Source organism: Homo sapiens, chromosome 12, assembly GCF_000001405.40.
Source record: "Homo sapiens chromosome 12, GRCh38.p14 Primary Assembly".
Lineage (NCBI taxonomy): Eukaryota > Metazoa > Chordata > Mammalia > Primates > Hominidae > Homo > Homo sapiens.
The window spans coordinates 68529386-68544669 of record NC_000012.12 but is presented as its reverse complement, the minus strand read 5'-3'; the positions used below and the strand labels follow the sequence as shown (position 1 = coordinate 68544669).

At 39.7% G+C, this 15284-nt stretch overlaps 1 annotated feature.

The window, feature by feature from the left end:
- Window positions 5101–6063: an enhancer, noted in NCBI's record as "NANOG hESC enhancer chr12:68932387-68933349 (GRCh37/hg19 assembly coordinates)". NCBI's record gives its function as "activates a minimal SCP1, AML or CMV promoter by ChIP-STARR-seq in primed H9 embryonic stem cells {active_cell/tissue: H9 hESC(primed)}" and the evidence as "EXISTENCE:reporter gene assay evidence [ECO:0000049][PMID:30033119]".

Below are 15284 nucleotides of genomic sequence, written 5' to 3'. Positions count from 1 at the left end.
TGGTATTCCCCGAGGGACTCTCATGTCTAAATAGACGTGAGAGTTGAAAGACCCATAAAGGTCTTCTCTTGCTTTACGATGTCTTATTTTTCCTCCCTCTGGTTGATGAAATGCCAGGGTGAAAGTGATAGCCAATTGGACTAAAGTACAATTGCCACTCCAGTTATTCAGCAGAGTGCCCAGTAAAGGTCCACCGCAATACCACCATACATCTGCTCAGGGATGAACAAGGGCTGACTGATTGATAAGCTCTTGAAAATTCTTAAGCTTACTGCATCCCTTCAGGTCTCCAAGGAACGCTACGTTTCCTCCCTGTCATGAGAGACAGGAAGTGAACTTAGTGTTGGGAGACAGAGTCTGGATGGTCCTCCTGGGCTGACCTGCAGGGTGCCGTACTTTGGGATATAGTAGAGAGAGCTTGGCACGACTTATTACTCCAGGCTGTAGAATCCTGGAAAAGAGCTACCATGCAGCCCACACCTGGTCAACTGGAGGACCACCTTAGTGGAAAGGGGACAATGTGGGCCTCTGGCCTACCATGTGCACAAGCATAACAATTCCTTTTGTTTAATGTGCAGATGGAATATTTGATCCATTCCAAGCAGGCATTTGCATCTTGGTATCCTGTCTTAATTGCCAAAGTTTGTTTTAAGTCTTTAACTTCTATGATCCTCTAGTAAAATGAATGTATGATTTTAGGAAATTATAAAAACTGTTTGGGTAGTCCATCCTTGCTCTTTAGTGGTCCACAGAATGTTGGACCAACTATGGCATAAAAGCTCTACACTGGGGAACAAGACTCCTGGTTGACACGGGAGCCTTTATCGAAATTTCCCTGGATTAAATGGTCCTAATTTACTAATGCCCAGTCTGAGGAGAGTCAGGAGGGACAGAGGTACTTTTCTGAAGTAGAGAGCTGTCTTTGACTTGGCAAGTCCCCACAGGGTATAACAAGTCAAGCATTAAATGCAATAGTTTGAGGCGAAATTGACTTGGTTATGTTAATAACTAGAAGGTCAGCAAAAGAGCAGGAAAGAAGAAAGAGTAATAGAATACATGAAAGAATTAAATTTTTCTTAGCTTTAGTTTGGTAGGGTTTTCCCCTGGGACTATAGCACACGACTCTGGAGGGGATGGTGCTTTCTTGACTTGGTTGTGATGAGTCCATCCTTTTTTTTCTGTATGAACAGCAATCTTGATGGTTAGCAGCACAAGGTAGGGTCCTTCCTAGGCTGGCTCGATTTTCCTTTCTTTTCACCCTTTGATGAGAATGTGATCTTCATGCTGGTGGTGGTTTACTGGAAATTCTAGGGGGGGGTACACTTGCTAAAAGACTTTTAGTTTTGAGGGAAAGGAAAGTGGAAGATAAACCAAGTACATAATTTCTAAGAAATTGAGCTTTTGTTTTAAATGTGGGGACACCAGCAGTGAATTTTATAGTCCTTGGTGCCTTTCTACTGAGTAATTTCCTTTAGCACCTATTTTTATTAGTTTTTGGACCAAAGAAGCCAATCAGCATTTTATATTTGACAATGCTTCCGGTATGATTTTTATACCAGATAAGCTAAATTTCACCTTTATATTAGTGTGTTATAATGTTAAACTTAGTTTTAATAAAACTTTATATACATATTTATTCAATTTTTAATGTCAGACCATAAGGTAAGATTTTTATAGACTCTTTTTAACCTTTTATAATCTTTGTTAAAGAGCAGGTTAGTGCTTTAAGAAAAACCTGTCATGTTTTTACTTTAATGTCCAGTTCACAGAAAAACTGTGTGATACCCCTTTAACTTTAGCTAATATGTTTACACACAGAATTTACACACAATTAATGTTTTAAAACCTGATTAAACTTTTAAAACAAAATTTTAACATATTAATGTAGGTAAAAAATAGTTTTACATTCAGGAGGCCCAATTACTTTTAAATTATACAACATTTCTTGTATAAATTCTTTTTTTAACACACTTTTTTTAAATGATTTTTTCTCTTTCATGACTTTTACAGACAATTCTTTGACATGCCTTAACTTTCTGACTTATTACAAACATTTCTTTCTTTAAACAACCAGTTAATTTATTTCAGGACAAGAATTTACTATATAACATTCTTTTTACATAAATTCTGCCCCCCCTTTTTTCCCCCTTTTTTTTTTTTTCAAAGATAATCATTCTTTTCCAAAGTGAACTTCCTTTATGTCTGTGGACCAGACTATCTAACGCCACAAGATTAGAAGTTACTATAATACATGTTACATGGTTAACTTTTAGCAAACTTTACTTTTGTTGAAAACCTTGTAAGTTTGGGATTTCAATTATCCTTTGCTATTAATAAGACCTTGTTTAGTCCAAATTAACTTAGAATTGGTACAGATGGCTTTTTTTTTCCTTTAATTACCTGGGAGGAACCATCTATGGTCCTATCCTGAAGGGAGTTCCTCCTAGGTCTGGTTGGACCTTTGTATGGTAATTAAGATTTAGATCCCCTGTTAGGAAACCTGCTGGGTTAAGGCAATTTTCAGTGGTTAATGTTAAACCATCTTTTTTTTTTTTTTTTTTTTTTTTTTTTTTTTAGGATACTTCTGAACTGGTGAGGTGTGCTTACAATGAGGTTCCTCTAAAAGTTATTTTTTTACTTTCTTCTGTTAGCAAAGCAGTTGCTGCTACAGATTGAATGCATTTGGGCCATCTGTGGGTTACTGGGTTAAGGATTGTTGATAGGAAGGCCTCAGTGCTTTCAGGATATGCCCTGGTTTACACTGACAACAAAGTGGTATTGGAGTGTTATAGGGTTACAGCAAACACCTTTAATTATCAATTATAGGTTTTAAATTTACCTTGGCTTTTAAAGGAATAGGGTACACTTTTTTTTCCTTAACTACTTGTGTCTTTCTGTCTTTCTTTCTTTTCTCTTCTTTCTTTCTTTCTTTTTCTTTCTTTCTTTCTTTCTTTCTCTTTCTTTCTCTTTCTTTTGTTCTTTCTCTCTTTTTGACTTTCCTTTTGCCTCTGTCTCTTCCTCTCTCTCTGCCTCTCTCTCTCTTTCTCTCTTTTCTTGACTCCCTCTTTGTTTCTCTGTCTCTTCCTCTCTCTCTCTTTGCTGGTCTTTCCTTGCCTCTGCTAGCCGCTTATGCTGCTGTTCTCTCAGCCACTGTGGCGGGGCGGTCTAAAACCAGCTGTAACCAAGTGTCTATGTACGGGAACTGGTCTGGGTGCCCTGGCTTACAGGTTACCTTGTGCCATACCTTTGAAACAAGGGACCTATCCAGGCTTCCTTCTGATGGCCAACCCACCTGTAATGCTGGCTAGTCTATCTTACACAAAGTTTTAAGTTTTCCTGGTGTCATAGTACTCCATAGTCTCCCTTAAATCTTTTCTTGAAATTTTTCAACATAGTTCCTAGTGGGGTGGGCTTACTTTGTGCCTGACCCATGCTTCCTTGAGGCAAAACACCAAGTTCACACCACACGCACACCACAAAACAAAGAATGGGTAAAAAGGGTACACACACACTTTTACAGTTTACACCAAACCAGAATCAAAACCAAAATCAGAGTATCAAGCAATCCAAGCCAGGTCAAAACCAAAACCAAAGTATCAAGCAATCCAAGTCAAGTCAAAAACAAAAACCAAAGTGCTGGTACAGGCATGCCGTGGGTTATCAGGCCACGCTTCCACTCCAAAGGAGTGTGCAAGTTCCAAAGACTAGTCTTACCAAGTTTCAGATGTCCGGACACCAAGTGCCAGTTCCTTCCTGGTGTTCAGCCACTGTGTTGATCCTCTGCAGGGGCCTGCCATGCACCACTCTGACTAGGTGTTCCACTGGGGCAATTGCCTACCTGGGAGCGCTCTCAGGATCCACGTCACTCAAGCTGGCTGGGGTCCCCTGCAGGGATGCTCCACAGGGCAGGCCTAAGCCGCCTAAGGGGTTGCCTTGACCTTCTGTTAATCACCTCGCTTCCCAGTCAGGGAACCAAGAAATGTAGCAGGACGAGCCACAGACAAAACCCCTCAGTCACCGAGTTAAAGAAGGAAGGGCTTTATTTGGCCAGGAGCATCGGCAAGACTCACATCTCAAAAACAGAGCTCCCCGAGTGAGCAATTCCTGTCCCTTTTAAGGACTCACAACTCTAAGGGGGTCTGCATGAGAGGGTTGTGATTGATTGAGCAAGCAGGGGGTATGTGACTGGGGGCTGCATGCACCGGTAATTAGAACGGAACATAACAGGACAGGGATTTTCACAGTGCTTTTCTACACAATGTCTGTAATCTATAGATAACATAACCGATTAGGTCAGGGGTCAATCTTTAACTACCAGGCCCAGGGTGTGGCGCAGGGCTGTCTGACTGTGGATTTCATTTCTGCCTTTTAGTTTTTACTTCTTCTTTCTTTGGAGGCAGAAATTGGGCATAAGAAAATATGAGGGGTGGTCTCCTCCCTTAGTAGAAAGGCCTCATAAACTGGGCATTTGCTAAGGAGAACTGCTTTAAAAAGGGTACGGTCATTCAATGCCTGCCTGGGACAAATGGCCCTTTGGTACTGGCTGTAGAAATCATCTAGATGGTGCAGACTGTGCTCTGGAAGAGCATTTTATTGCAGGGACACTGCAAGAATTGACTGTCTTATTAAGAAGCACTGTTATAATAAAATGTGATTTAATTACCAAGCAGGGGTCAAGAAAGGATTGGGGGAGGGATTTAATCATGAAAATACTGGCCCAGATAAATTAATTCTAAGGGTGTTTGTAATAATTAGGCACATATATTTGAATAATAATCACACCCCCAAATTATGTGAAAAGTATACCCCTTTCAATTGCATAAAGTAGTTTACGTGCCCATTATCAACTGAGCCAAGGAATGTGTAATGATATGAAACCTAAGATCTTCATGAAATACTTCCATAAAAAATAACAGACAGCTTTCCCTTTACTTATATTTACTTGCCAATTTCAAAGGAATCAAATTCCATTAAATTATATAAATAAACTGTCCTGAAGGCACTTGCTTCTACTGTTTCAGGAAGCTACCCTATATTTAGAAAATTTCTGTGGCTCCCGATAAATGTATTTCCTTTAGAAAAGCAATTCTCATAACTTAAGTGGATAGAGTAGTCACTGTTTTTAATGAAACTAAGGAATTTGTGATGTCATCTTGTGTGTGCCAGTCCTTCAATTAAGAGGGGAGGACCCGAAAATGCAAAACCCTATGGTTATACCATGCACTTTAAAAGAAATGTATCAAAAGCTCATTATGCATGGTCACAGTTTGCAGCAAAATACAATCCTTTAGAAAGTGAAAGGGACTGCTCTTTTATGTAACTTGGCTCTGGAAGCCTGCGGTGACAAACCACACACATCAACAGCCCCCACTTTGAGCAAACGTGGAAAACCACTTGTTAGCTCCGCCCCTCTAAGTACTCCTCCCTGCGGCTCCATTTTGTTTTTAAACTATTTTATTTTTGGTAAAAGTTAAGTTTACTAAGCTCTAAAATACATGAAATCTCCTGCTGTCTATTCTAACACTGGAAGCTGCTCCAGGATAAAAATTGGTGCATCCCATGTAATAAGGAGGAGGAATGTTATTTTATTAACAGTTGGCACCAGAATTCCTTCAGAAAGGGAAATGTAATTACTCTGAAAAATACCCTGATAAGAGCTTCTAAAGTAGAAGAGATCCCAGGAGGGGCCAGGGTGTGGGCGGAATGTTTCTGAGACAAAGGGAGCAATTTGGCTGTAACTTGCAAGGGCGTCCAGAGGGCCTGGGAGGGGAGGAGCATTGGAGCCAATCAGAGAACATCTTCTCAACGTGACTCTTCCTCTCCATCCTCCCGCACAAGCCTTTGCTAAAATGACTGAGCTGGCTAAGTACTTGATGCAACTAATTTTTTATTTTACTTTATTTTATTTTTTGGTAGAAGCGTGGGTAAGGGTTGGGCTTGTGTCTAGATCAATTGAGTATATCAAGGTTAACATGTATGGACCTAAGACTGGAGGCAAACAGACTCTAAAAATAAACTTGTAGGATTTTTTTTTTTAGAAATTATGGGGAGGCCTCTAGGTGCTCACGGGGACATGTTTTTTGATGTAGTCTTTGGAAGCTCTTTTCTGATTGCCTCTATTTATTTTCTCAGCAAAACAATAAGACTCTCAGCAGCTAGAAGAATAACAAATATGTTGGAAGTTTGAAGAGCAAGAATAAAGTATGAAATAGATATTTTACCAAAAATGCCTTTTACCAAAAGACTTTTGCCAAAAATAAAATAGTTTAGATTTTATTGATATCTTTTAATGAAATCTTTGTGGGAGCTAGAGGGCCTCTGATGGAATCTTGGGTAAACCAGCTAGTTTATGGGCAGAATCACTGCTGTCATGGGTGGGAAGCTACTGTGGATAGTCTTAAGCTGCTTCATGGATGGTTACTTGGAAACAGGACTCTATAAATACAAGATATCATGGTTGCTTTTCCAGTCATTGAACTGGCCAGACTTCAACATAATGTTTTTTAAATTATTAATTTATTATTATTATTCTTTAGAGACAGGGTCTTGCTGTGTTGCCCAGGCTGAAGTGGAGTGGTACGATCATAGCTCAGTGTAATTTCAACCTCAAGGGCTTAAGTGATCCTCCTGCTTCAGCCTCTGAAGTAGCTGGGACCACAGGGTCCACCACCATGTCTGGCTAATGTGAATTTAAGAGGCTAATTGACGGAAAAAAATGATTCTTTAGTAGACTAACAAAGAATTTTGAGATCCTAACCTTACATTTCAACACTAGTTTTTCAAAATTAATTCAAAGTCCCTGAGAATGAAGGATAAATTAAGGGTCAAAATGGTATCTAATATTCCCCAAATGATTCTTCATTAGCCAAGGTTGCTAGAGTGCAAATGAAGGTGAGTCAGCATATTGAACACTTTGCACACGATCATCATATCTATTCTAGGATCAAACCTAGAGGACCACAGTTGAAGCCAATGGACAAAGGGTAGAAATATATTTGATCATGGTTTACAGTGTGTCTTAGGGGTTTCTGGGTACAAAAATAATGGGATATCACCCAAGGCAGGGGTCCACAAACCCCAGGGCATGGTCTGTGGCCTCCTAGGAACTGGGCCGCACAGCAGGAGGTGAGCGGAGAGTGAGGGAGCGTTACTGCCTGAGCTCCGCCTCCTGTCAGATCAGCAGCGGCATTAGATTCTCATAGGAGCCTGAACCCTATTGTGAACTGCGCATGTGAGGGATCTAGATTTCACACTCCTTTTGAGAATCTAACGAATGCCTGATGATCGGAGGTGGAGCAGTTTCATCCCAAAACCATCTCCATCCCCCACTGTCTGTGGAAAAATTGTCTTCCACGAAACCGGGCTCTGGTGCCAAAAAGGCTGGGGACCACTGACCTAAGGAAATGATTCAATATATGTTAGATATTTCCTCCAACTGGAATTTTCTGACCCAAAGTTTCAGATTGCATCTCCCCCTCAAGAGATACTGTCCTTGATCACGCCTTATAAAGTTTTCCCCTGCATGTCACCCTTTGGATTTCTTTCACAACACTTATTATCATCTGAAGTGATCTTGAATATTTTTATTTTTTACTTGTTTGTGGTCTGCCTGCCAACCATTGTGATATGAAGACCAAGAAAACAGGAACCCAGTGTGCCTTATTCATCTCTGTTTCTCAAGCTGTAGGATGCCTGGCACATAATCAGAGCACAATAAGTATTTATTGAATCATTGAATGCATTTCATTCAGCATCTAAGCTGCAGAGATTATCAAAATCCTCATAGGCCACTACAAATATAATGTAGTTACTTTTATAAAGGAAACACGTACTGAGGGATTCTAAGGCTGGTGTTTTGAACTAATTCCTTTTTATTATCAGCCTAATCTTGGATCATGTAAATGATGATCACATTATACCTGTCAGAATACTTTGCAAGAAAAAAATTCACTATTATAGTCTCTCTACACCAAAGTGAATCTAGAGATTCAATTAAACGATAGAATAGTAGAGTTCAGTTTTGATATGGAGAAATGTTTTGATGTTGTATTTTAGTTTGGGTTAATAGCATTATTAGGTTGCATGCTAGGGTAATTAAAAGCATGAGTTCACTTTTGTTTTTAAGAGATGAAGTCTTGCTATGTTGCCCAGGCTGAAGTGCAGTGGCTATTCACAGGCAAAATTATAGTGCACTGCAGCCTCAAACTCCTAGGCTGAAGTGATCTTCCTGTCTCAGCCTTCTAAGTAGCTGGGACTACAGGCTTATGCCACCACACCCAGTTCAACACATTTTTTTTTTTTTTTAATTTAAGAAAAAAATTATGTGGCGGAAGCTAGATAGTAATACCTGTTTACAAGATTTGACAAGATTTAATACTACTTTTGTTTTAAAATTTATTTATTTATTTTTTGTGACGGAGTCTCACTCTGTCACCCAGGCTGGAGTGCAGTGGTGCAATCTCAGCTCACTGCACCCTCCACTTCCTGGGTTCAAGGGATTCTCCTGCCTCAGCCTCCTGAGTAGCTGGAATTACAGGCATGTGCCACCACGCCTGGGCTAATTTTTGTATTTTTAGTAGAGGCGGGGTTTCACCATGTTGGCCAGGCTGGTCTTGAACCCCTGACCTCAAGTGATCTGCCCTCCTTGGCCTCCCAAAGTGCTAGGATTACAGGCGTGAGCCACTGTGCCTGGCCTTAAAATTTATTTGAAAGCATAATTATGAATGGGGAATATATTAATAAATGTGTTCAGGCCGGGTACAGTGGCTCATGCCTGTAACCCCAGCACTTTGGGAGGCTGAGGTGGGAGGATTACCTGAGGTCAGGAGTTCGAGACCAGCCTGGCCAACAGGGTGAAACCCCGTGTCTACTAAAAATACAAAAATTAGCTGGGCAAGGTGTTGTGCGTGTAATCCCAGCTACCTGGGGAAGCTGAGGCAGGAGAATCGCTGGAACCTGGGAGGCAGAGGCTGCAGTGAGCCGAGATCGTGCTGTTGCACTCCAGCCTGGGCGACACGCAAGACTCCCTCTCAAAAAACAAACACACACAAAAATGGTGTTCAAAATGAGAACAAATAACACAAATTTCTTTAGCATCGTATTATGGATAGTTAGGAGAAGTTATTTCAGAACTAATTTAAATGCATTGTTTTGGGAGAATGGAACTTTTTTTCTACTTCATACCATATTGCTTCCATTTTTTTTTTGTTTGATATTACTTGTCTGTTTTTGTTTGTTTTTGTTTTTGTTTTTTTCAGACAGAGTCTTGGTCTGTCACTCAGGCTGGAGGGCAGTGGCGCGACCTCAGCTCATTGTATCCTCCACCTCCCGGGTTCAAGCAATTCTCTTGCCTCAGCCTCCTGAGTAGCTGGGATTACAGACGTGCACCGCCATGCCTGGCTAATTTTTATTTTTATTTTTTGAGACGCAATCTGCTCTGCCGCCCAGGCTGGAGTGTAGTGGTGCGATCCTGATGCACTGCAACCTCCATCTTCTGGGTTCAAGTGATTCTCCTGCCTCAGCCTCCCAAGTAGCTGGGACTACAGACACGTGCCACCACGCCCAGCTAATTTTTTTTAATATTTTTGGTGGAGATGGCATTTCACCATGTTGGCCAGGATGGTCTCAATCTCCTGACTTCGTGACCCGCCCACCTCAGCCTCCCAAAGTGCTGGGATTACAGGTGTGAGCCACCATGCCCGGCTAAGTTTTTTAATTTTAGTAGAGATGAGTTTTCGCCATGTTGGCCAGGCTGGTCTCAAGCTCCTGGCCTCATGTGATCTGCCTGCCTTGGCCTCCTAAAATGCTGGGATTACAGGTGTGAGCCACCGTGCCTGGTCGCTTGTCTGTTATATGTTGTCAAGAGGCCTTGTTTTATAACAAAACTAGACTTGTTAGATATAAAATTATTAATTTTCTTCTAGGTATATTATTTTCTCCATTCTCATATGAGAAAAATTAATTAAAAAAGTACTTTTGTTAGTACTCTTGTACTGCTGAATGAAACTGAGTGCATAAAAGAAAGTTACAAAATTATTTTAAAATTTCATTTCTGGAATTGGTGTGTGCATATTTATTATGGGTGGAATAAAGGAAAAAGTATTTTCAGATGTTTACTTATACACAAATTTTTTTTTCTTCAAAAAATAACAGTAGGCAAGATGCGGTGGCTCACGTCTGTAATCCTTGCACTTTGGGAGGCCGAGGCAGGTGGATTGCCTGAGCTCTGGATTTCAAGACCAACCTGGGCAATACGGTGAAACCTCATCTCTACCAAAATACAAAAAATTAGCCAGGCATGGCGGCATCTGGCTGTAATCCCAGCTACTCAGTAGGCTGAGATAGGAGAATCTCTTGAACCTGGGAGGCAGAAGTTGCAGTGAGCCAAAATAGCACCACTGCACTCCAGCCTCAAAGTGCAGAGTCCATCTCAACAAAACAAAACAATAAGTATGTTAGTTATTTCTACATAACAAATTATTGCAAAATTTTGTGGCTGAAAATAATGAGCATTTACTATTAGTAACAATAATAAACAATTATATTATTATAGATAAATAAAGATAATTTATTATTTCTATAAGGAATCAGGGAGCAGCTTAGCTGGATAGTTTTGGCCTGAGGCATATTTCATAAGACTCCAGTCAAAATGTTGACCCCTGCTGCAGTCATCTGAAGGCTTGACTGGGGCTGAGGGATCTGCTTCCAAGATGATGCACTCACATAGGTGGCAAATTAGTGCTGGTTGTTGACAAGAGACCTCAGTTCTTCATCATATGAACCTCTCCATAAGACTGCTGGAGTGTCTTTACAACACGGTGGTTGTAAGACTTCCCCAGAGCACTGGGCGCGGTGTCTCAAGCCTGTAGTCCCACCCACTCGGGAGGCTGAGGCCAGAGAATGGCGTGAACCCGGGAGGCAGAGCTTACAGTGAACCGAGATTGTGCCACTGCACTCCAGCCTGGGCAACAGAGCGAGACTCCGTCTCAAAAAAAAAAAAAAAAAAAGAAAGACTTCCCCCAGAGCAAGCGACCAAGGAAGCAATGTGGAAGTTGTAATGTTTTTTATTATCTAACCTTGGAAGTTACATCATCACTTCCGTGATGTTCTGCTAGTCACACAAACCAGACTTGATCCAATATAAGAAGGAACTACATGAGGGCATAAATACAAGGAGGTAAGGGTCACTGGGTATTATCTCAGAGGCTGACTACCATAGTAAGAAATATGAAGGTTAACTTGAATTCTACCACTCTTATGAATTTTGAATTTGTTACTGATGTTCACTAAAAAGTGCTTTGCAAATTATGAGGTGAACATGGTGGAAAATAGAAATAGCATTTCACAAAAAGTCCTGATCAGTGTATGAATAACATCCTCTGCTTCGAAATATTATGAACATTGCATATCATCACATTAGATAAAGCATATACATAAGTATTGTCAAATCTGCTTCATAAGATTATAAACATCTTTTGCTTTTGGTGGGGCACGAGATCAGATAATTGCAAAGAAAAGATGGAGAAAAGGTAAAGACTGAAAAAGAAAATAACAAAGACCAGAGAAAGGAAAAAGAAGTAGAAAAAGAGAAGATAAAGGAAAGGGGATAAAAGGGACAAGACAAGACAAATCAGAGGTAGAAGAGCAGAGACACAGAAGATAAAAACATGCAAATAAAAGGCAAAAGAAATGTGAACCCAGAGGTGATCTGAACAAGAGAGAAGGAAAAGGAGAAATGATCGTGAGGGGGGGGAAAGAAAAAAAAAAGACAGAAAAAAAAATTAAGGTTTTCATTCCTTTACCAGTTTTTAGATCCTTTTCCACCTCAGAACAGGCTTGCAGCCTCTTATTTTCTGTGTTTCCCAAGCTCCTCTGGGAACTCCCCTTAATACCTGGTTCTCAGAACCCTGCTTTTCAGCTTGTTGCTCAGACTGGGTTGGGTAAGTTTCTGGGGAAGAGAGTAGGTTAGCCATTTTATTTATTGTCCAACTGTTCTTCTTAAGTACACACTCCCTTGTTAGGTAATATTTTTCTAGAAGTATTGAAAAAAGTAATTTCTTAGAAAAAAAATCAGACACAAACAAGTGATTTTCTGAGAGAATTTTAGTTCTGTAAAAAAGTATTACCATATTTGGATTTGGTTCCCTTTGTATATCTGGCAGATGAGTATAGTTCTTTTTGGATTTTTGATTCAGGGTTTACTTTAGTTCAGATTTCTGCTTCAAGTCATGTTTCTGTGGTTGAAATAAAATTCTGGCTAAAAAAGTACCTAGCTACTAGTTTTCATTAGCCAACATTTCTTTTTTTTTACGTGAGAACATTGCATAATCTGTGCTTCAATAATGATTAATTTGTAGACTTTAGAGAAGTTTGGATAAGCAATTTTTGTATGTGGAAATATTAAATGAGCAATATGATTATTTTTTTTACATTTTTAGTGTATTTTCTGCTAAGTTAACAAAGGCAAATTTAATCAAAGCAACTAATATAATATGCAACCTTCTTTTTAGACCATCTCCTGCCTCCCTCTCCCCAATCTGGGTTATTTTTTAAAAAGCTATTTAAAAATTTAAAAATTTCAACTAAGTAACACATTCACAAAGCTCAAATTCGTCTTTTTTTTTTTTTTTTGAGATCGAGTCTCAAAGTGCAATGGCATAATCTCAAACTCCACCTCCCAAGTTCAAGCGATTCTCCTGCCCCAACCTCTTGAGTAGCTGGAATTACAGGCGTGCGCCATTACGCCTGGCTAATTTTTGTATTTTCAGTAGAGATGGGATTTCACCATGTTGGCCAGGCTGGTCTTGAACGCCTGACTTCAAGGGATCCTCCTGCCTGGGCCTCCCAAAGTGCTGGGATTACAGTCATGAGCCACCGTGCAGGGCCTCAAATTCATTTTGATTGAGATTCACTGGACTTCTTTAATTTGTGATTGGTAACCTTCATCATTTGGGAAAACTTTTTTCTATTATCTCTTCAAATATTGTCGCATTCTCATGCTTTTTTCTTTCTGGAACTCTAATTAGAGGCATGCTTCTTTCTCAATCTGTCCTCCATGCCTTTTAACGTTTCTTTTATGTTTTACATCTCTTTGCCTCTCTGTGCTTCCTTCCAGACAAGTTCTTCTGGCCTATCCTCCATTTCAATATTTCTTTTTTCTCCAGCTATGCCTAATATGCCATTAAAACCATTCATTTAGTTTGTAATTGTAATAAATATAATTGTCAGTTATTGTGGTCCTATTTGATTCTTTACAAAAAACTGCTTCATCGTTTTGCAGTTTCTTATTATCTGCATTTATTTTCAAGCTTGGCTATTGAACGATCATAGTTGCTTTGTAATCTGTGTCTGATCATTCTAGTATCAGATTTTTTTTCAGTCCTCTTTCTACTTTCTGTTATTTTTGTTGCTTATTGCTGTAGTACTTTGTCTCTTTAATGACTGTGAGTATTTTCTTTGGAAAATTATTTGTGAGCATTCTTTGAGTCCCTGGATGATGTAAGTTCTTCCAGTGGGGGATTTGCTTTGGCTGTATGCCTGGAAACAGTACCAGTTCTTGACTTTTTCCTGGATCATTCAGTTTATATTAATTTGGACTATAAATCCTCATGAGGGCTAGCATGGCATTGCCACTTATTAGGGAACTTCTCCTTTACTCTCTTAAGTGTCTTTACTTATAGTCCCCTAGGGCAAGGGCTGTAGAGTTTATTTTTGATTCATCCTTCCACCAAGGGTTCATCCTTATACCAGTCCTCTGGGATCTGAGTATCCTATTAGGTTCCCCAAGCAGTTATGGGCTTTGTCTTCTATTCTCCCACATGTCCTGAGACCATGGAAATCAAGGCTGAGATTGGACAGGTTTGGCAAATGCCCTCAGTGTCTGGTTCCCTTCTGGGTTCCCATGTTCACTAAGATTTTGACTTAATAATTCCTTCTTGACACCCCTTTGATGCTTTTAAGGTTTTACTAATATTTTATTTTGTATTTTCAGCTGGAGGGTTATTCCAATTACCTAGCCTGCGCTATTACTAGAAATAAAAATCCTGGTACAAAATTTAACAGCTACAAAAGGTATACAGTGAAAGGTTTCCCTGTTATTCCTGCCTTTCTGTTCACCATATGATCATCTCAGTAGGTGCTAAAACCACATTTGATAAAATTGAAAACTCATTCACACATTCACCACACACACACATACACACACATGCGCACACACTCTCTCTCTCTCTCTGTCTTAGAAAATTAGGAATAGGAATAGAAAAGGAAACTTTAAAAAACCAATAATGGTTTAATGTCATACTTTGGTGTTGAAAATGTGGGGATATTCTTGCTTTTTACTTAGTCCAATTTCTTTATTTTTCGACATTGGACGAAATCCCAGAAAGGTAAATTGACATACCTAAAGACCGGTGGTCTACCCAGAAAAGCACAAGTTATTTTATTTATTTTTTAAGGTATTTTGTAAATGCTATTTTTAAAACTAATTTCAACTTTTATTTCAGATTCGGGGGTAGATGTGTAGGTTTGTTACATGGATATGTTTTGTGACACTGAGGTTTGGAGTATGAATGTGTGAATGACCCCATCACCCCGGCGGTAAGCATAGTACCCAACAGGGAGTTTTCAGTCCTTGTCCCTCTTCCTCTCTCCCCCACTGGTAGTCTCCAGTGTTTATTTTTCTCATCTTTACGTCCATACCTAATGCTTAGCTCCTGCTTATAAGTGAGAAAGAATGTGCAATATCTGGTTTTCTGTTCCTGCATTAATTCTCTTAAGATAATGGCCTCCAGTTGAATTCATGTTAAAGGACATGATTTAATTCTTTTTTCATGGCTGCAAGGTATTCCATGGTGCATATGTACCACATTGTCTTTATCCAATCCTCTGTTAATGGGCATCTAGGTTAATTCCATGTTTTGCCATTGTGAATAGTTCTGCAATGAACATATGAGTGCATGTGTTTTTTTGGCAGAACAATTTCTTTTCTTTTGGTTACATACCAAGTAGTGAGATTGCTGGGTCGAATCGTAGTTCAGTTTTAAGTTCTTTGAGAAATCTCAAAACTGCTTTCCACAGTGGTTGAACTAATTTATGTCCCCACGAACGTGGTCTTCGCTTTGTTGCCCAAGCTGATGGGGGTATTGTTATTAAAGTGTTCCCTTTCCTCTGCAGTGTTGCCAGCATCTGTTATTTTTTGACGTTTTAATAATAACCATTCTGACTGGAGTGAGGTGGTATTTCACTGTGGTTTTGGTTTACATTTCTCTGATTCTACTAATGTTGAA